The 23,509-nt window shown below is 40.5% G+C and overlaps 1 protein-coding gene across 23 annotated transcripts in view; it reads right to left on the reverse strand.

Moving 5' to 3' along the window:
- Nucleotides 1-23,509, reverse strand: part of PSD3 (pleckstrin and Sec7 domain containing 3) — a 557,503-nt gene that overhangs the window by 152,704 nt on the left and 381,290 nt on the right. For 2 of the 23 annotated variants that reach the window (NM_001412896.1, NM_001412895.1), the window contains exon 1: nt 3,768-4,060. The exons of the other annotated variants lie outside the window; for them this stretch is intronic. Coding sequence is in view for 1 of the 2 variants with exons in the window: in NM_001412895.1 (NP_001399824.1) it covers nt 3,768-3,926 (159 nt within the window). In the remaining variant the exon portion in view is untranslated. Of the gene's footprint in view, nt 1-3,767; nt 4,061-23,509 lie in introns of those variants that run through there. 23 annotated transcript variants of the gene reach the window in all.

The following is a 23,509-nucleotide window of genomic DNA, read 5'->3' on the forward strand; positions in this document are numbered from 1 at the left end:
AAGAAACAACAGTTTGAGATTCCGCCTCATTTAAACGGTATCACGTAGTTTGGCAAGAGATGGGGAAGAAAAGAGTGTTTATCAACATGAACTTTTACAGATTTATGTTTTAAACCATAAGTTAAAAATTAGTACTAGAATAATTTATATTTGACAAATATTTAGACTCAGAGGAGGACTGTGGAAATGTCTGGGAGAACTGAGGCTTAAATCAACATTTTCTAATACTGCACATTCCAAATTCTGGAGTACAGTTGGCCCTCCATATCCATGGGTTTTGAAACCCCAAGGGTACCCGAATACCCGGGGCTGATTGTATTCTACTTTTAGGAAATTGTTTCTAAATTAGAAATCAATTAGAATCTAATTGATTCTAAAATGTTACTTCTGTCAAAGGCAGAGCAACCAGCTGGATCTGACAGCAGGAAGGTCTGCACTGCCCCCTCATGGCCAGAAGCCTTGCTAGTAACTCTTCCAATAACAGACACCCAATGAAGAGCTGAGCTCAGTCAGACTTCATTAATTTTAATAATGAATGCCGGTCTCCACGAAACACATGTTCTTCCAAAACATATTCAGATTTGCATCCTGCCCATATTATGTGCTTCAGAGGTTGATACAAACATTATTATCGAGAAAAAGACAAAGCCACACTCTCTCTAGAGGAAATGGTAAGATTTAAACACAGAATAAAGAAAAAAAGTCAACACGGAGAAGGGGGTTTTAAAGAAAATAACATCTATAAGCTGAATTTTAGTAGGTTAAATAATATTCTTCAGACGAGGTCAATATGAACCATAAAGTACTGGAAAATTCAATTTTCTTAATTTAAAATATTTAGACCAAGAAAAGCATTTAAGATATCTCACTAAAATTAAAAGCAAAACTTCTAATCCTTTCCACAGTCCTTTAACACTTTTTTTCAAATGAATATGAATAAATCAGAGAACAAGTGAGGACTACAGATAATTAATATTTGAATAAACCATTATGTTTTAATGGCCAAGAAAACAAGCTGGAAACATCAAAGATGAAAGTTTCAAAGAATACAAAACATGTAATTCCAACTCTGACAAGGAGAAGCAATTATTACACCTATTCTAGAAAGAGCCAGAGTTCTAGAAAGATAACATTAAATCCCAGGAGCGAACCACGAGTTAATGGTATCTTATTTTTTACAGGTTGGGAAGATGACATGAGAGGGTGGAGAGAGGTGGCAATGGGGATCTTCTAATCATCAAATTAGACATCCTGCATTTTGGATGAAAGAGTCAGATAATCAAAAATGCTGTTTACATGATTAGCAAGAAGAAATACCAGCTGGGTGCAGTAGCTCGTGCCTATCATCCCAATACTTTGGGAGGCAGAGGTGGAAGGACTGCTTGAGCCCAGGAGTTGGAGACCAACCTGGGCAACATACTGAGACATTGTTTCTGTTTCAAAAAAAAAAAAAAAAAAAAAAGAAGAGGAGGAAGAAGAAACACTGATTTAAGGGCTAAAAAATACTACTAGATACAAGTAAGATCAATGAAAATTCTGATTAAAATTGGAGGAAAACGTGTAACTGTGGATAAAAATGGGAGAAGTGATGCTTAAATCAACATTTTACACATGTCTATTATAGTATAATTAAGTTCAGTAATTTAGGGTACAAGCCTGTCATATTATTCAGTTTATTTCATTTAGGGAATATAAATGGCTAGTCAATGATTAGGGTCACTCTGATAGAATATTCTATTCTACTGATTTTCTCTTAGCTCTGGTGTTCAATTTTAAGCCACTAGATAATCCTAAAAATATCTCTTGTGAGATATTGGGAGCTTGGCTATATCCTTGAACACATATTCTGTAACTTAGGGACCACATATGCCTCAAAAAAATACTAATCATCTCTTAAAAACCGACTATAATCTTTAAGGTATCATGTGATGGCCTACTGACTACAGTTCTACCAGTGGCCTTTTATACTGTTAACTCCTGCGGCGTTTGCAATATTCAAAAAAAAAAAAAAAAAGTGCTTGGCCTTCTCTTCCACAGATACATATCAAGTAAAAGTACCTGTACTGTGTGACAAACACAGAGGACAGTAGAGAATCTTTTCATGTGGTATCTATGCTGGATTCCAACATTACACTACACAACCATAATTCTGGGTGAACCCACTAATATTACAATGCCTAAATTATCATGAGGATAGGTAGTAGGACTACAACAGAGTTAAGGATGATGAGCTCTTAATTTCCCATAGCCTCTGACTGCATACCATGGGTATACTCCACATTAAAACATCCAAAACAAAATCCAGAGACGTCTCTTAGTGCTCTTATAGAAGCCAATTTTATAGCCATGTTGAGAATTACATACATGCTCACATACATTTATTTAAGAATATGATAAACCATTCTGGTCTATTTCAGCAGGAGACCGCAGTCCTGACACCACAGGTGGTCTCATAACACTTTCAGTAGAAGCCAACACATCCCTATACAGGTCACATTAAAGGACTTTGAAGACACGTTTCTCTCTAAAGATAAAGCTTTTTAAAAAAACAGTGAGGAGTAAAAAGCCAGATTTGAAGACTTACTGGAGCCAGGCAATTTGCTAATGACGGAGGGGGTCAGACTCCACTATGTCATAATGTAAGGGGGTGAATAGGAAGCCAACATATTTCTTAAAGTCACACTAAGGTATTTTGCCACCTGTCCCCTGCCATATTTTGAGGGGAACCTGTTAATGCCAAAGTCTTTCAATAATGTTATGTCACACAGGGATGGGGAGGTAGCAGAGGAGGAGGGCAGTGGGGAGTGGTGGGAGGGTGAAGAAAGCCTGATGTCACTCTCAGTGGGTCTGGATATAACCCCGAGAAGGCTGAAATGACACTGAGATCCACCTCCTGACGCTCTCTCTGCACATTATCAAGCCCATGAATCTCCGTTATAATCATCTCCATCTCCAGACCTGGAGTTCTGTGATCCTATGATTCTATTATTCCATTTTTAAACCTGTGGAGTGGGAGTGTTTCTGAGTACCCTGCTCACACAGATGGTGGTGGGAAGAATCTCAAGAATATGTTGCATGTAGTAAATGCCCACTTCACTACGTAATCACTCCCTTCACATTTCACACGAACAAAGATTATATTATCTTCAAGACAGCTGCAAAAACACGAGTGGTTTCATGGCAGCATAGCATCAGCACATATATGTGTAAGGAACATGAAAGAAGAAATTTCTCTTCATTACATATGCCTGGGGCTAACCACTCTAAACCTGACATGAATGTAGTATAATAGGACCAGGTCATACTTGTACATCAGCTCCACAGACTGGGGGCTGGGGGAAGACCAGGGGAGGAAAGGAAAAAGGAACTAACTGAAAGATAAAATCATACACAATATCTCTGTATTCCTGATGTTCTAAAAATACTCCGCACTGAAAAATCATTTGTCAAGGCAACCTTTCTGAGACCAAAAACAAGATCGATGTGCCAAACAACAGTTTCCCACAGTCATCTCATTTTGAGCACGGCTTTCGCCCATCTCTTCCACAAACTGGCTCTTTACAAAACTGACCCATGCCACAGCATCTTTGTATCTGGAGTTCAGGTCCCATCCGTTTCACCTGATCGCACCTGATTCTCTTAGAACCATTTTATACTCCTCGTTACTTTCTCAGTCTATCACTGCACATTAGACACTGCCAAAGACTATCCAATTCTGTTGCCCTGCCACACAGCTGTCAATAAGGTTCAATGTGGTATTTCTTTACCTTGTTCTCCTTAGCAGAAAACTCTGAGGAGTTGGAAATTTTCATGGACTTTGACCTGTGAGACTGCCGCCGGATAGAATCCTCCCGGGAGTATTTCACGGAACCTGAGGTCCTCACCCGTACCTTGCTGGCACTCTGGACACTATTCACGCCAATCATTTTCGAAGGTCAACTAAGGAAGGGGTTTAGAGAAATAAAAAGGCACTTTCCAACCGTTCCAAGGCTCTCACGCTGGAGGAACTCTGCGGGGTTGTGCCTGAGCAGCTCCTGAGCGCCGTGATCCGCGTTAGCTTAAGAAGCACCAGGCTGCCTCCCCCAGCATCTTCAACTACCCTGTTTGCAGCGAGTCTGATTGTTCCAGGCACAGCTCACGTCACTGGCTGCAAAGAGGAAAAAAATGCAATCCACCCCTGCTACTCGTCTCTCTTTTCCACACACACACACACACACACACACACACACACACACACACACACACCCCATCATATTCACACACTGGAACGAATGGCAATTGGCCAGGCAAGCAATTCATTAACATTCCAAAAAGCAACACTATTTCTCTTGTGATATTTGTGAAGTAAGCTCATTAATGTCAACAACCAAATAGAGATACCACAAATAAAAGTCTCAAGTAATCTCCAAGGCACCATGTGGGGTGGGAACGTAGCTGAATTTCCACAAGGAAGAAAAAAAATATGGATGGACGTCAAAAGGCTCAATTAATTACAGGCTAGTGAAACGATGCGAGACACAAAGGCATCTCAATGATCAATAATTTTCCTTTCTTTCCCGTTTCAGGCCACACACTGTTTGACAGCAATTCAAATTATGTTGCCATTCTGAAGAATTAAATGTTTCTTATGACCTTAGACTACGACAGCCAGATATTTCAAGAGGAATTATGTCAGTGTGTACGGCAAATCCAGAATAAAGATGTTCTGTTACCTCTCTAGGAGACTGAGAAAATGACTGGGGGGTTAGCACAGGTTAACTTTCAATATGGCACAGAGTGAGAGCAATAAAGCTAACTCCGGGCAACAAGCAGCAAGCAGCTTTTCCAAAAGCCATCAATGTTCTGTCAGTGTACACAGCAATGTGCAAGCCTCTGAGTACGAATCACAAACTGGAGATTACTAGAAAACAAGACCATTTTAGCTCCTAACATATGAAGTGAGTTTTGAGCATACTACTCAGGATTGCGATGTCTCACTATCTGGCATCCCAGGGACAGAGGCTCAGCCACATAAGCGTGTTCTCCAGATAAAGGAGGCTTTCGTGTTAATATAAATAACAAAACTTAAACATTGTTTACAAAGACCACTCTGGGAAAAACGTCAGCCTCAATCCATCCCACCCCTCAGATTTAAACTTTTCCTTTACAACTCAAGAATGTATACACTTTTTTTTACAATGTACCAATGTTCAAATTTTGCAACGCACTGGTGTTCTTGAGCATTATTTGAGATAATTAATTTTTTAAAAAATGGTTTAAAGTAATTCTTAAACTTTAATTACTAAAGTTATGTTTTAATGTCAGGTAACTGTTTCCCTCTACTGTCAACAGGCCCAGCAGAGGGTGATGTTTGACCCTTGGGTTTTGTTGCATCCTCATGACAGGGGCTTTCTTCCTATATCCTTTACATTTTTTTTTTTTAACTTTTCATCTCCTATTTTTAAAGCACTTAGTGCTTCTATTGTGCTATAAAGAAGACGAAGACATTAATATTGGTAAAATGTTACCATCTAAAATAATAATAGATTATTTTTGGAATAGGTTTTGGAAGATCTTGGGGACTCTCCTGTCCTTTGAGGTACATTTTCCTCTCTTCTTAGGAAACTGAAGCTACCAAATAACTGTTTCTCAGAATTAAGAAAAATTCTGTAAAGTTACTATTTTACAAAGCATATTCCAAAGACATAAAAAGTGGTGTACTATAGCAGTAAAATAAAATCGATCATTTGGAATAGACTTAGTTCTAACTTAAGCAGACGACGAGTCTACAGGTAAAGATCTCCAGTTAACAAAAGTAAGCTTGAGGTGGAACCCAGTAAGAAACTAATACCATAATAAAGATAAAAATTCAAAATGTCCCGTGTAAAAGACATGAGCGCCTGCCTCTGTGTGGGGATAAAGACAGTGCACGGGCTTAAAAGAAACATGCCCTTTGGATATTTGTCAGTCATCATAATGAGGAGTTATAAACTATCTCCTGATGAACTTTCTTTTCTCCACCAAAATGGTTAGATTAAAAAACAAACAAACAAACAACAACAACAACAACAAAAACTAAAACCATATGGTAGGATGTACAGAAATGGAATCTGATACATGTCATTTCTGGGAGGTTTAGCAGAAGGACGCCATCTTTACCCAAAGACTGCCCAATTGACGTTACTCCTGTACTGTCTCCACTAATAACCACTTTCATCGATCTGTTTAACACCTAATACCTTACAGAAGCCACTTGTTCTCTTGTTTTCACTCTCAACATGACAATTCTGCGAAGTGGGTTGAGGTAATATTGCAATCCCCACTTTCCTGATGAGGACGCTATCACAGAGCCAGCATGCAGATTCTCGCATGAAGTATACCAGGAACCACGCTGTGTCCCTCACACTATAGCTGTCTGCATTGCCCTGTCCTTTTTAAACCTGCCATGAGCTTTTCTGCAAGTCAGGGAGAGAAAGTTTTCTTCTGCTCCTGCCTTTTACTCTCTGTTGCAGAACACGTATTTCTACGTGGACAGAGTGAAGAGAACTCCTACAATGCTGCTAGCAGTCTCACAGCAGATGATCCCTGCGACATATCTGAGTATGTCTCAAGAGGTACCTGAAAAAGCTGTACAGACCTCAGCATCCAGGGGCCCTTGATGCTCAGGCCTCATCCTACTGACCTAAACTTAATCCCAACCGCTTCTCACTCTTCTTATCTTTGTCAGTCAGGCCTGACTCTTCATTCCAGGTGAGTGCGTGGCACTTTAGCTTCCACTCAGCCCATGCATGGAAGGCAAGCTTGCCTCCTTTCTGAAGCTTTCCCGAATGACCCTCCATCTGCTGTCATCCTGTCTGGAACTCTGTTGCCCCATCCTGATTCACTACTAAGCTGGCTTCTCCTCATTCAGCAGTCAGCTCAGTATCTTTTTCCAAAAGGACCTTCTGTGACCATCCTTCCTTAAACAGCAGCCCAGCTCCACCCTAGTCATTCATTTGCCACCAAAACCCCTACTTCTGTGACTTCAGGGCACTCATAGCTGTTTGAAATTACCTGCATCTCAGAGGCCAAAACAGAACCTGGTGAAGAGCCGGAGCTCAATGACCAGCTGTCAAATAAAGGAACTACTTTAAATATACAAGTTTCCCTTCTCTATCGGCTCTCACGTCATTCAACTTTCTTTTAAAGAAAATTCAGGATGGGTGCAGTGGCTCACTCCTGTAATCCCAGCACTTTGGGAGGCCAAGGCGGGCGGATCACATGAGTCCAAGAGTTCAAGACCAACCTGGGCAAAACAGTGAAAAACCCATCTCTACAAATAATACAAAAAATTAGCCGGGCATGATGATGAGCACCTGTGGTCCTGACTACTTGAGAGGCTGGGGTGGGAGGATCACCTGAGCCCAGGAGGTTGAGGTTGCAGTGAGCTGTGATCATACAACTGCACTCCAGCTTGGGAGACACAGTGAGATCCTGTCTCAAAAAAAGAAAATTTAGCAGTTTTTTTTTTTTCTGAAAAAATGAATACAATAAATACGAAATGATTTCCCCCCTAACTATACAAAAAAGTATGAAGTGAAATTTGTTTCCTTCCCGTACCATTTTCCTGTTCAGTCCCTCTGCCCGAAACAAGAACTGTTCCCAGTTTCCTATGCATCCTTCCAGAGATAATAAGCCATCCACGTGTGTGTGTCCACGTGCGTGTGTGTGTTTGGGTTTGTGTGTGTGCGCTTGCCCATCCCTTTTCTTCTCATGGACTATAAATGGAAGCATGATATATATTTTTGCTATTTTTTTTTAAGATGGAGTCTTGCTCCATCGCCCAGGCTGGAGTACAGTGGCATGATCTTGGCTGACTGTAACCTCCGCCTCCCGGGTTCAAGTAATTCTCCCTGCGTCAGCCTCTGGAGTAGCTGGGATTACAGGCACCTGCCACCATGCCTGGGTAATTTTTGTATTTTTTAGTAAAGATGGGGTTTCGCCATGTTGGCCAGGCTGGTCTTGAACTCCTAACCTCAGGTAATCCACCCTCCTCTGCCTCCCAAAGTGCTGGGATTACAGATGTGAGCCACTACGCTTGGTCTATTTTTGCTATTTTTATTTATATTTTAGAGATAGGGTCCTGTTCTGTCGCTCAGGCTGGAGTGCAGTGATGCCATAATAGCTCACTGCAGCTATGAGCAAAGATCCTGGACTCAAGTGATCCTCATGCCTGAGCCTCCTGAGTAGCTAGGACTACAGGCATGCACCTGGCACGATCACGTCAGGCTGTTTGTTTGTTTGTTTGTTTTGGTAGAAATAGGGTCTTGCTATGCTGTCCAGGCTAGTCTCAAACTCCTGGTCTCAAGCGATACTCCTGCCTCGGCCTCTCAAAGTGCTGGGATTATGGGCGTGAGCCACTGTGCCTGGCCTTCTTAATATTTCTTGCTCTTTTAACCCTTATCAAAATCCTGTTACATTATCACATACAAAGCCGCCTTACTCTTGTTAATAGCAGCATAGTATTCGAGCATGTGAATGTATCATATTGTAACAGGGTCTTATTATTGAACATTTAGTCTGCAATCTTTTGCTACAATAATGATGCAGTGAATAATACCCCTGCAATGTATCACATCCTAACATTGAAACAACATAGTTTTCCAATTGTTTTCTGAACAAGTCTTATTTTCTTCATCCTACATTATTTCTTATCACCCACAATCATGGTGTTAGGTACATATGGGGTTCACAACTAGATTCAATATGAAATAATCACTTCAAAGACGTGTTGGATGACCCTGTCCTGCCCCATCTGGCTCTGAGGCCTTGACCATTTATAGACATGAGCCAGCCTGTACAGAGACAGCCGAGCCGGCTTGCTATAAAATAAAAGCAGGCTTCCTGGAGAGAAGCAGCTGTTTAAAGGTACAAAATAACTTTCCACAAAAGCTTTAGCAGAAAGTGAAGGTGACTTCCATAACAAATCAAAATAGCAGGAGACATTTAATGAAGCAAACTAATTAAGCGGAAGGCTGGAAACTGGTGCTTCACCTTCTGATGCTTTCTCTAAGGACACCGTTTGGTAGATAAACCCTAAAAGGCTTCTAACAAGGGACCTAGTTAATGGTCATCAGAAAAACTCAACCTCTCAAAAGAGTACCAGAGAAATGAACTCAATACACTTCTTTGCTGTGTCTACTAGGTACCAGATGCTGGGGACACACAACGCTGATACCATCAGGCCCCTAACTTTGAGCAGCTCACATTCAGTCGGGGGTAGGAGGTAGAGAGAACAAGAAATTCTGTTGCCATAATTATAATGATGAATATCTTCAGAGTATCAATGAACTGAAAGGCTTTCAGATCCCAAGTGAAATCAACAGGAGAGTATCAAACGGCACCCAGGCAGACACTTCCCTCTTTGCTAAGAAAATCTCACAGAACCATTAGTAGAAGGAGGTGAAGACTGAGGTATGAACTCTGGAGAAAAGCTAAAGTGGAAATGAATTATAAATACCAATTGTCTAGAGGTACAATTAGCAGGATACCAAGAAGGACTGGGGAGGGAAGAGAGGCATGAGGTGTCAAGAGGAACTCAGCCTCAGCCTATTTTCAGAACAGAATGGCGGTTGTAACACTCAGTTAATTCAAAAGGCTCTCATGACTTTCCCTAGGTTCCTCACATTACATTTGCTTGTACTGAAACAGAGTAAAGTGACAGAGGCTGATTTGGGAGTGACAGGGCAGGGGCTTGCCAAGATTTTCTGTCCATGTTTGTCACGTAGCCCAACATATTCAAGAGGCTAGTGCTGCTGTTATAAAGATGCTAATGATTAATTGTTTCCTAGACTATTCATTTGGACTTATTATTAGAGCTGGGAGAGGCCTCAGCAAGAATCATCTTCAATCTCTTCATTCTATAGATGACTCCTGAGACACAGAAACAAAGTGACTTGTCCAGGAGCTCATAACTATGAAGTGACCAAACTGAGACTTGGGCCCAGGTTTCTTAATTACCAATATTGAGGTTTCTTTTTTTCCTCCTATGCTATTTGTTTCTTGAAAGCTAAATATTCCACGAACACATATCTCTTCAGACTACATTAAGGCCTGAAAGGTTATCTTGAAATGGAAAGTTCAAGGCTGGGAGACTGACTCTAGAAGTGAAATAGAGGCCAGCTACTCATAAGAACTACGAAAAGGAGACATGAAAGGACAAAATCAACTGTACCAATAGCGTAGGAACTGGTCTTGGAGTCCTGAAACGTATGTGACAGCTCCCTGTCCTTGACCTGGCAGGAGTGAGGTACGCAACCTTTCGTTCTCTGAGTGCTATTCCTTTCCATGCGGTAACATGACTACAAAGCAAGTTAATTTTGCAGAGAACGATAGCTACTACTGTTAAGGATACATAAACACACAAGGTATCATGAGGAAAACAGATACATTGGATCAAAACGTACTGCTTTATTTTTCCTGTCTTCTTCCAGGCCTTTCCAGCTAATACTTTTCTAGTCTAGGGATCTATTTTGAACCCCAGCAGATGGTGGCAGCCTAGCTTCTTCTAACACTCTACACCCCAGGACAGGATTCTTATCCCCTAGATGGTCCAGCCACATGAGGCCTGATACAGGCTCCACTGCCTGACATCTGAGCCTGCACCAGAACCCTGCTGCCATGTGTCACTAACCTACCACCTTGATGGACACACCACCGCTTTCCTAAACGGGACTCAGACCCTTTCTCCCAGAATAAACACTTGGCCCACAGTGCCGGGCTACCTCTTCCTCGCTGTCTGGTCCGTCACCCTTCGACCCCAGCCTGCTGAACCAGCTTCAGAGCCCCTTCCCTTGATTTCCCCTGCCCCTTCTCAGAAAGGTCCAATAAGGCTTGCCTTCACCCATCTCAATTGGACATAAAACTGCAAAGTTTTTTCTAGCAGTGGGGCTACGGATTTCCTTAGTCCATAAGACATCACTAGAATCTAAGCTAAATCAACCTTAATGAACAATCACTATAAGAATTGGCGGTTAGGAGTAAAAAAAAAAAAATCCTATGATTTGTACAACCTATGAGGACGCATCACCTCACTCCAGCAGCCTTCAATCTTCCTGGAGCATCACACGCTTTTGATTCCATCTGTTCCTCAAACATACAAAGCAACAGGATGGGGGGAAAAATCTTTAAATAGAACGTTCTTACATTGCAAATGAAATAACATTCTTAAGGCAGGGGGAACACCCGTATAAGTTAAACAGTTTTGAACCTGGAAAAAAACCTCATTTTTTCCCCCTCATGAACAAGACCAGTCATGTAAGATGTTTTAGACCAGAGTGATGCATTAGATTTGCTGTTTAGAAGTACGGACAATGCAGAACAAAGACGGCCTCTGTGTGTTCACACACTTAACTCTGTATAGCTGACAATGCCACAGTCAGCTCAGACCTTTCCAACCATCATATGGAAAACAAACACAAAACTGTGAAGCTACAGGGCCTTCCGGAGATCAGAAAAACTTACCCTATATACCTGAGGCATTATAAACTCTTCTTTCTGTGCTACAAGAAGGTATTCTTAATTCTAGCCCAAAGTAAACACAAAATGCAAATACAGAAATGCTATTTCACAGCCTCCAAAGCTGTTCATCCAGATGAGTAAACCAATAATTGTATATAAAAGGGTGAGTGCTGAGAAAATACTGTTTCAAAAGCTAATCCAATAAGCCCGTCCATAATTATCTCTAACATCTAGTGTCAACTCAACAAATATTCCCCAAGTGCCTAATACATGCCAATCATTGAATCTAGGAGGCAATAAAATGATCAGAGATCCCTGCCCTTGTGCTTCACATCAAAGACAAATTATTCTCTAAGTAAAAAACAATGCCAGTCGAAGTACATGACCCTAGGTGCATTTTTTCTAAAAAAAGATTATTTGAACAGAGACAGAGAGGGAGCCACTTTTTGCTGTCTCATTTTCATTTATCAAAAGTCCTCTAAAATTACCAACATTTCATTTTTCATTTCTTTGATTAGTTTGCTTGGTAGTCTGGGTCACTTATGAATTTCTATCAGTCCTTAATAATGTCAAGCCATATTTAGTTTCATCAAAAAAGGGTGACCATTTGGTACAATGTAAGAGTAACTGTAAGCTCTATAGTGCAAAAGACAAAACATCTGTTTAAATTCTGTTCAACATTTTAACTTCCCTCATTCACTGTGCCAGGCATGAGGAATAAAATATTATGCAAATCCAGAGAGATTCCTCTTCCCACTGAGCTGACACTGAGATAGACATTAATCAATCAATAAGTAATAATCAAATAATACCCAAAATAAATGTAAAACAGTAACTGTGCCAATACAATGGAAGAGAATCACAAGGTACTGCAGCTCTGGAAGTCTCTGACAGCAATTGGAATGGGCCTGGCCTTAAGGAAGTCTGGGAATGCTTCCCTGAGGACTTTAGAAAATGAGGCAGGATCTGAAGAATGAACAGGAGAAAAGAGGGAACAGCAGTCTGTGCCAAGGCCCTCTGACGGAGGGGTAAAAGGTAAAAGCAGGAGCAACCAGAAGAAAATCAGGCCATAATGGAGCGGGAGCTGAGAAATATATTTAAGAAGGATGATGAGAGGCTTTTTTAAAGATGATGAAAAGCTATCAAAGGGACTTTAAAAAGTAGTAACAGAACCTGATTGGAATTTTGAGGGGATTATTCATTTTTTTCTTCCCAGTAACTGATGTTTGGCTAGCTGCAAGAATTGTCACTTTGGGCACATTTTCTGTAACCAAATGTATCTTCGGCCTTTATATTCAAAAGGGCAGTAAACCAAACTGCCTATATTATATAGATGTTATTTTAACTCCTCACTGGATAAGGTCTCTCTGAAATTAAAGGATGGAGTACAGATAGTTGGGGAACAATTAAAATTCAAACTTTAATACCAAAGCTAAGCTCTGGGGCTGCAGAAATTCACTACCGGGGGTAGAATGTCCAGGTGGGAGTTTGGACTGGTACTAGCTCAACCTCAAGTAAATTCCTGAAGGGTTTAGAAAAATCTGAAACAGACGCTGACATATGTGAAGGCCGGGCTACATAAAACATGGAGATGATGAACTTCTCAAATGGAGCAGAACACCACAAAATTTGGAGAAGACAGGGCTATTTCAAACACATTTCCCCCAACTGCTGGTTGTACTGCTGCTACCCCTCAATGAGTAGGGATTCTATGAATCAGACCAGCTTGACACATACGACCTTAAATACAACAAACAAACCCAACAGATTTGCTATTTCATACTCTGCCTCATCCAAATTTCAATGTGGCCAAGCCCCAAATCATGGTTTCTACCAGGTCAACAGCACATAAGGCGGCAGCAAAGCGCAATGGCTATGAGCCAAACGGACCTGTGTTCATATCTTGGCTTTGTCATTGACTGGTCAGTGACATTGAATAAGTTCCTGAAATTCTCTATATTTCACTTAAAAACAGGGGGAAACATGCTGTATTAAAATTTGTTGATTTTAGGCTACTCACCAAAACAACATCCTGCTTTAGCGGAAATCTTCAGGTATTCCCTGTCCCTGTAAGCTGGAAACAAAGGTATAAGCCATGTGACCTAAGCCCGGCCATATGATGCTCTCAAAAAAGTGGCGTAAAGACTCAGAGTCGGTGACAGAGCCCCCCTGTTGCAGTTGTGGTGGCAACTGCAGGCTACTAGCCCCACACTTTTCCTACGGAAGCAACGTGGCACTTTCCTCTGCACTCAGCCTCCTTGGTTCAAGTCTATTTTTCTAATATGATCCTCAAAATAGCCTCCTCCTCCATTCTGTGAACTACCTGATGACCTTTCAATAGATTCCTTTTTACTCTTAAGTTATTAAAGGTCAGTTTCCATGTTTTTGGAGCCAGGAATCCTGGCTATTACAACTGACTTATATTAGATGGTGCAGGGCAAACAGAGATGAAGCATTAGCATGGCATCTGATAGGTAAGTAGTGATGATGGGTAGTAACACTGGACCCTGAATGCTAGGAAAGATCTGAAAAAAGAATTTGGGATCTGAAAATAGTCCTGTCCAAGTGTCATGAAACAGTAAGGTAACTAGAGCACCTCAAGCCAGTGTTTTGTTTCAGTGACAAAGATTAAGAAGACACTGGTACCTACTCAAGCCTGAGGCACCACACAGTAAATCATCATCAATAAAATGTTCCTGGTCCCTTCAACACCTGCCCACCACACCCACCTGAGCCCTAACCTGCCAGCCAACTCTCCTCATCTGCTACCACCACACTGTTCCCTAAGCCTGTGGAGAAAACATTCTACAAAACTCAAATTAACTAAATTAAAAATGAAGTTCCAGCCAGGCGCGGTGGCGCACGTCTGTAATCCCAGCACTTTAGAAGGCTGAGGCAGGTGGATCACAAGGTCAGCAGATCGAGACCATCCTGGCTAAGATGGTGAAACCCTGTCTCTATTAAAAATACAAAAAATTAGCCGGGCGTGGTGCTGGGCACCTGTAGTCCCAGCTACTTGGGAGGCTGAGGCAGGAGAATGGCGTGAACCCGGGAGGCAGAGCTTGCAGTGAGCCGAGATCGTGCCACTGCACTCCAGCCTGGGCAACAGAGTGAGACTGCATCTCCGAAAAAAAAAAAAAAAGTGAAGTTCCTTCTCTAGATGGAAGCTTCTTTCACTTCTTAAATAATAAATTAAAATTATTCTGATAGGCTGGGTGCAGTGGTTCACATGTGTAATCCTAGCACTTTGGGAGGCCAAGACAGGCGGATCACTTGAGCACTTGAGCTCAGGAGCTCAAGACCAGCCTGGGCAACATAGTGAAACCCTATCTCCACTGAAAAAAAAAATTATTCTGATAAATGAAACTGTTTTCATGTGGTAGTACTGATTCAAGGGATCCTTGGAGCTGGCCAAAGGTATGGAGGAAAATTATAGCATAAAAATACTAACTCTTAGATATTTAAAAAAATCTAATACATTTTTATATAAGAAGGAAACAATAAATGGATAGGAAAAAAGACCCTCTAAGACAGGAAGGGACCAGAGTTAGGCTGTGCAATTCCCAAATTCTCTAGGGGTAAAACTACTCCTTCCCCTTCTACTAGGGATCCTTAGCCTTCTAGACTTTTAGACTAAAGATCCCTAGCAGAGGGAGAAAGCTTCCTTGCAAAGAACAGCAACGACAAAGGCCTGATGAGAGCTAATGTTACAGTAATATTGAGATCACAACTTGGGCTGGCTATGTGAAGGCTGACAATCTAAATGAAATCTTAATCTCTCTCAGAGGAAACTGCAGACACAACAGTCATTGATACCTGTCAGCCCCAAATCAGCCTTGCAGACATAAAAGTGCATGCATGAAGTAAAAAGATAACAGCATCTTTGATGCCTCCTGTCATGTCATAAACCAAACTAGGTAGTATATCAAATACTGTAGAAACAAACTATTAGACTTCTTCCATGTATGCCAGAAGACCCCTGAAGGATTCCATAGAACTGTGGATAACTTTGATCTATTCCCCCTTAAGGGGCATTTTTATTATGTAATAACTGACACATACGAAACAATACATATAATATTTACACAAGATATTAGAAATAATAAAAAACACCCTTAAACATTCCTCCAAGTACATGAAACAGAACATAACCATCACCATTAAACTTCTTGAGGACACCAATCTCAACGGTTTTGCTCTTCCTGGGTATATACACATACCAGAAAATAATTTTGCATTATCTTGTAAAGTTGAATTTATCTACCTTGTAACCTCACAGTTCTTTTCCAAGGACTACACTCTAGAAAGACCATTACAGAAACTTGGAACAGATGAGTTAAAAAATGTTGTCTGTAACAAGAAGGAGTATGAAACAAGTCAAATGGATAAATTAACAATGATAACTTCATGTGACCAGAACAGTACCCTCTCTCATGTGTAATGCAAGCTGGTAACAGGAACGGGGGGAATGCACATTCCTGGGTAGACTCTGTGCTGAGCTGCCCAGACACCCCTTCAGGAATCAAGGGCACATCCAGCGTCACCTGGCAGCTGTCGCTGAGAATTGCCCTGAGATGAAAAAAGGTGCCTGGCCCAGGGTCATGGGAGACAGGACCTGCATCTGAGGATGTGTCAATGCCTCTCTAGCTTTCTCCACCGACCTCCGGTCCCAGAGCTCTGCAAGGATTCACAGAGGCCTTTGTTGAGATGGCATTGCCGTCCGTTCCTCTCTGCCCAATCCTGCTTCCTTTCCACCTCCTCCTCACCTCCATACGACTCAGTCTGTTCCCCAGGGAATTTCATACAGGCCGGAAACTTCACATTATCTCATTTAATACGTATGACAAACACTATTAGATAGATATTATCAGTCCCATTTTATACATGGTTTTAGAGGAAGTAGTTAACTTGTCTAAAGCTTTTCAGCTAAGACAGGAGCTTGGATTCAATGTTGAATCTACTTGGATCCTCAAGACTATGCTCTTTCAATTACTCTGTGTGGCCTGTTTTACTAAGCAGCACGTTGCTCAGCTTGTGTTAAGATACATTCCGAGGAGCAAATAAAAGTGCATTTCTTTTAAATTATTCTTTAATTCAGATATTACTAATTGCATTTTCCCCAGAATTACAAAGGTCTTAGTACATTATAATAAGTATCACAGTCACTCATCAAGATATGATGAGCTTCCTAGCTTGTGAATACAAATAAGAAATACTCCATTTTTACTGCACTAGTTCTAAGATATCTGATTCTCATAGGATAAGGGAGCAGTAGTGTGCCTCAAATCGGAACATCATTAGAGCTGGGGAAAAGTATAGAATGGTACTGTCCAATAGAAGTCTATAAAAGCCACATAATAACTTAAAATTTCTAGTAACCTCATTAAAATGTGTAAAAAGAAAACAAGTAAAATTAACTTTAACGATGCATCTTGTTTGCCCCATATATCCAAAATGTTACCATTTCAGGCCAGGCACGTTGGCTCATGTCTATAATCCCAGCACTTTGCCACTTTGCGGGGACAACGTGGGAGGATCACTTGAGCCCAGGGGTTTGAGACCAGCCTGGGCAACATAGTAAGACTCTCTTTCTATTTTATCAAATTTAAAAGAAGTTATTTCAACATGTAATCAATAAAAACAATGAGATATTTTACATTATTTTTTCTGCACGAGTCTTTGAAATCTGGTGTGTATTTTACACTCCCAGAATATCTCAATTTGGACTAGCCAGGTATTAACTGCTCGACAGCGACATGGGGTGAGTGGCGACAATACTGGGTATCACAGGCAAGGGGGAGAGGGTAGGAAACAACGGGCTAAGAATGAGATAAGAGAATTGTCAGTACTTTTACCATCCACTCCTGACTGGCCAACAAAAGTACCTGACAAGTGATAAGACTCAAAACATTTTCTCTTAAATATGGAGCCCATCTCCTTGACAGTCTATGTAAACAAGAGTGCTCTGCAGAACATTATAGAAAAGTGTTTCTTTTATATACAGTATTAAGGTCTGAGGTCCATGATTCACTAAAACATTTCGTTGCTATCAGAAGTCAACTTGGGAACATTTTATATTCTAGAACATTATTGTTACTTAAAGAAACAAAATGCTTTAAATGGAGTTCTAAGAAAAGAACATGGCACCTTCTCTCCTCCTTTATCTTAAAATCCCCAGAAGGTCCCAAAGCTCTGCCTGTGATTGCGTGAATTACCTCTGGGCAAGTATCTATCAATTTTTAGGGGTCCTAGATTCCTCATCCAGGAAATGTGAGTGTTGGATGAAATAACCTCTCCAGTTCCTTCTGGCATCAACATTTCGTCACTACACAGCACAGTCTGATCAGCAAATTGTTTTCTGAAAAGCAAACAAAAATCCATTTCATCGTTGCATCACTTTTCTCTGAGAAAAAGTCTGTACATAATTTATCTATTGTGGAAAGATGAATAATGGTCCCCCCAAAGATGTCCATGTCCTAACTCTCAGATCACAAGATTTTTATGATACTCTGTGAATATTATATGTCAAAAGAGAATTTGCAGATGTGAATAAGTTAACGAACTTAAGGAGAAGAGATTACCCTGGGTTGTCTCAGTGGGCACACAGGATGTATTTTTGTTTTGTTTTTTCAGAGACAGGGTCTCACTCTGTAGCCCAGGCTCAAGTGCAGTGGTGCGATCATAGCTCATTGTAACCTCGAACTCCTAGGCTCAACTGAGCCTCCTGCTTCAATCTTTCAAGTAGCTAGGTCTACAGGCACATGCCACTATGCCCACCTAGTTTTAACATTTTTTAATTTTTTAAAAAAATTTTTGTAGAGATGAGGTCTCATTACGTTGCCCAGGTTGGTCTCTAACTCCTGGGCTCAAGTGATCCTCCTGCCTTGGCCTCCCGAAGTGCTAAGATTATAGGTGCAAGCCATGATGCTCAGCCTCACAGCGTTCTTACAAAAGAGGTTGGAGGTTCAGAGTCAGAGAAGACGGGATGACAGAAGCAGAAGGGAAGAAGAGGTTTGAAGGTGGAGAAAGGGGGTCATGAATCAAGGAATAGACAGCTCTTAGAAGCTGGAAAAGACAAGCAAAAAGATTCTCCCCTCGAGCCTCCAGAAGGAATACAGCCCTGCCAACCCATTTTGGACTTCTGACCTTCAGACCTATGAGCTAATATATTGTGTTAAGACAACAAGTTTATGGTAATTTGATACAGTAGCAATAGCAAACAGATATACCTATAATCATACAAGTAACATCCAAGATGGTATATCTATGTGGCTTCTTTGTCAGAAGTAGGTGTATTGATTTCCAACTAATCTATTTAATTAGGATTAAGGAGTTCTGTGTTAGCTTTTATATGCAGGAACAATAATATGTGAGATAAGTTTCAATAAAAAAGTACTAGCTTTTTCTAGAAAATATGTAGAAACACTATCATTTAAAATTAACATTAATGAGAGATAGTAAATCTGTATTAATATTAATCATCTGAAGACCCAAAGATGAAACCCCACTCAACCAGGCTCATAAGGAAATGAATGAAAAGGTTACCTGGTGTGGCAGAGATGCCTGTTTGTCCACCTAAATCCCTTCTTCCTCCCATGGTACAGGGTTGTTTCTGGGAACATCCAGAGACTGCTTCTCAGCATCCCTTGCAACTAGATTCCTGCTAAGGAATGTGAGTGAAAGCTATGTGTGCCACTTCCAGGCCAAGCTTTTTAAGAGCCACTACTCATTTTACTTTTACAGGCCAAATACAGAAAAATTCATAAGTCCCCGAAGATGATGATGCCACAAAATGGAAAGAGGCTGCTGTATTTTTGCAAAAAGAAGCAATCTGTTCACCAGGAATATCTAGCTTTGACAACCATGTAAACAAGAAACAAACTTATACTGTGTTGGAGCCAGTCAACAATTTGAGATCATTTACTACAGTAATGTAGCCTACTCAGATGAAGACACCTAGTCACAGTCAGGCAAGACGACCCAACATTTCTTTCTTGAGCTTATTTTCAGGTTGATAACAATTCATAGAGTGTAGTGAAAACTGGGGACTTATATTGAATGAGTTTGACTAACCTTCTACTCACTTGACCGAATACTCTATATGAAGGATAGTGCCCTTAGAAAATATGTGCTGGAATGTCTGTCATTTCTGGTAAAAATTTCAGGTAGCGTAAAGACTGCTGGGCAATACAGGAAAAAGAATTCAAATGATATAAAAATAAATTAATTATAAACTTTTGGATAGGCATGGTAGGCTATAGAATGGTGGGTGGTCACACTGGGAGAATGAGCAGTTTTAGTTATTACCAGTATTTAAGCCAAAGTTCATTAGGGTTTTTCGCAGTAACACACATTGTACAAACAATAATGAGATCCCCACCCAAAAAAAAAAACCACAAAAATCAAGCTGCAGATTCCGCTCCTATATTTTCCTTTCTTTACTAAGCCCATTGGCAACTGATTAACTTTTTGAAATTATTCTCAACTATAAATTCTACCCCATCAGCAGTTAATCAACAATAAAATTCCTGGGAAAAAATTGGTAATGTGAGGCTTCCTCATTTGCAAGGACATTTGAACAGAATCTTATTTCAGTCAAACCTTATTTTCATTTTCCTAGGCCAAGAATTAGAGAAACAGAACCTGAAATTAGCAACCATCTTTTGGGACTGTTGTATTAACATTAAAGATAATATACAATATAAAAACCAAACCCAGACAATAATGCAGCAACTTTCCCTGTTTCCCTTTAAAAACAGACCTCCTAATCACTTAATTAGATGTACTTTAAAAGGTACATAAAGTCCAAGAATTTATCATATCGGTGGCCAAAAATAAGAATATTTTACAGATTCCTATTAATGAGTTATCTATACATTATTAGTAATAGGAAAAATGATGTACTTTCTAGAGTACGGTTGTTTCTTAAGGATCAAGCTCTTAAAGATATAACATACTGCTGAAATAGTGTGAACACTCGTGAGAGGCTATCTCCCATGCTTAAACCTTTCTGCTCCACTTCTAATAACCTGAAAACAATATTTGAGAAAATCAACAATGTGCTTCCGGAGCTAAGAATAAGCATAAGCACAACATGGTCTCTTAGCAGACATACTGGGGGAAAACCAGGAACAGAAGCCAAGCCTCGAGACCTCTCAACTCAAACACCAATGGGTTTCACACCATCACACTGAAGACCAATACGTAGAATACTGCAACTTCCTTTTTTTTCAGTCTTTTTCTTTCCTTTGGTTTTTTCTTTCTTTCCTTCCGTCTAGGGGTAAGCAAACAGTAGAGTAGAAAGGATGCAGGACTAAGATTCACAACATTTGAGTGAACCTGACGCAATGCCACCATCCTGTGATACAGCCTTGGAAGAGTCACTTTACATCTCCAGACCTCAGTTTATATATCTGTACTGATGTTATAATCTCCAAGGTCTTTGGAAATTTAAAACTCTATAATTTCATAAAACAATATTTTGTGTATTTATTTATTTTGAGACAGGGTGTTACTCTGTCACCCAGGCTGGAGTGCAGTGTTGTGATCATGGCTCACTGTAGCCTCAACCTCCTGGCTTAAGCAATCCTCTCACCCCAGCCTCCCAAGTAGCTGAGACCACAGGTGTGTGCCAAGAAGCCTGGCTGATTTTTTTTTTTTTTTTCTGTAGAGACAGGATCACTCTATGTTGTCCAGGTTGGTCTCGAACTCCTGGGCCCAAGTGATCTTCCTGCCTTAACTTCCCCAAATTCTGAGATTACAGGTGCAAGTCACTGTGACTGGCCACATGAAACATTTTTATCTTGTATACTGTAAGTAAAATAGTTTTTTTTGGTCACAAGAAATGCTGTGTCTCTTGAGTTGGTATAAATAATTTCAAACACAATACAAGTCTCATTCAGCTTGCTATAAATTTTAAACTCATATACAGTAACCTATTTCAACAAGCCCCTTTATGAAGCTTACACAATTGAAAACATACTATGTATCAAGAAACCTTTTATACAGAATGGAACAATCACATCGTTTATCAATAGGGTAAGCTGAACATTTATATTGCAGTCCAGTTAAACCAAATGTGTATGTACTAGTCTCATCATTTAAGTGAAGTCTTCCATTGTTGAAGGAAACAAAAAAGTGGCTTCCTAGTAGTGCAGAGTAAGTTCCAAGATGTTTAAAGGATATATACACGTGCCTGTCAATGTGAACTTTCTTTAAATGCACTGATTTATGCAGTAATATTTGGAGTATGACTTTAAGTGAATATTTGCTTTAATATTTACCAAATATAAGAGCTTTACAACTGCATAGCCATGAGCTTTCCTGAGGGAGTAAAAATCTACGTACAAAGTAGAGATTTATGAACACTATTTCATCTCAGGTTTTTTCAACCGACAAAAAAACATGAAAATATCACTGGTGTGAAATACTATGTTCACAGGACCATTTACGGCTCTTGGGATTTTTGCCTACAAATTATGTGAAATTACATGAAAGAGCTGAAAACAAAAAAGAAGCAAAAACAAAACCCCTTTAAGAGTGCATTCGTTTCAGCATTTTACTTCCCAAGGCAGAATGTTTTCCCAGGAATCCTGGGAGTGACTTCAGATACTCCGACTGATATTTACAGCTGCCATGTATTTACACCAATAACTTGTCCATCTGTAGAGGAAGGCTGAAATAATCAATTTGTAACCGACAGGTCTTTCTACATGTTTAAGATCATCTTGAAATATATTGGAAATGTATCTCTCAGATCCACATTCTCCCGGATGACTTCAAAACATCACCTGATTTTGGTGATGGAGGAAATTTTTTGGTGTGTGTTTATGTACATAGGTAACCTACTTTATGGGTTGTTCTAAGAGTTATGAGATGGAAATCATGTAAAATGTTAGCACATCTTTGGTAGCACATCTTTACCTTAATTGGTACTGTTTTCCCCTTTTTGTATTGTGAATCATAGTTGTACGTACTTTAGGGGTATGTGTGTTCTTTTGACACATATACACAACAATGTGCAATGATCAAGTCAGGGTAACTGGGATATTCATCGCCTTAAACATTTATCTTTGGTTTGTGGTGGGAGCATTACAATTTTTCTCTTCTAGCTATAGGTACTCTTTCTTTCTTTCTTTCTTTTTTTGAGATGGAATCTCGCTCTGTTGCCCAGGCTGGAGTGCAGTGGTGTGATCTCGGTTCCCTGCAAGCTCCGGCTCCCGGGTTCACACCATTTTCCTGCCTCAGCCTCCCGAGTAGCTGGGACTACCGGTGCCCGCCATCACGCCTGGCTAAATTTTTGCATTTTTAGTAGAGACAGGGTTTCACCATGTTAGCCGGGATGGTCTCGATCTCCTGACCTCATGATCCGCCCGCCTCAGCCTCCCAAAGTGCTGGGATTACAGGTGTGAGCCACCGCGCTTGGACAGCTATAGGTACTCTTTATAAGAGGCATTTTACTGCTTTGTGTAGTGCCTGCTATAGCCATTTTCATGTTCTCCTAAAATGTCTTTCTCCATGTCTTTTCTGGTATTATCTTGATTTTTGTGTTTTTCTGAGGCAAGAACTGTGAAAAATCCTAATGGGAGGAACTCTCCTTATTTGAGAGTGTCGAGAGCTGAAGGAAATGTCTTAACTTTTTGGTTAAAAAAGGAATACAAGAAAAAGAAGGCAACACCACCAGCAGATGCCACTGCCTCGTCACGAGGGCTTTTCTCCCCAATGAATTAATAGTCTACAAAGGGGCAGAAGTTTCCAGTGCATTCTGCAGCTGTAAAACACACTGAAGCCGCTCAGGGACCAAGATGCAAATGAGCCTGCCACTGATGAACCAATGTCTCAGCAAGGGCCTTCAGAGACTTACACAGAGAGGTCCCCTTAAAGGTATGAAAAGGTGCTCATTAAGCACTTTTAAGACGTCGAAATTGAAATAACTATCCTTCAGTTCTTCATTATCACTAGGTGGTTGGACTCTGAGGGGATCAAGCATTTACTTTTCAAGGAAAAGTTTAAACCAAACTCATAAGCACAC

Source organism: Homo sapiens, chromosome 8, assembly GCF_000001405.40.
Source record: "Homo sapiens chromosome 8, GRCh38.p14 Primary Assembly".
NCBI lineage: Eukaryota > Metazoa > Chordata > Mammalia > Primates > Hominidae > Homo > Homo sapiens.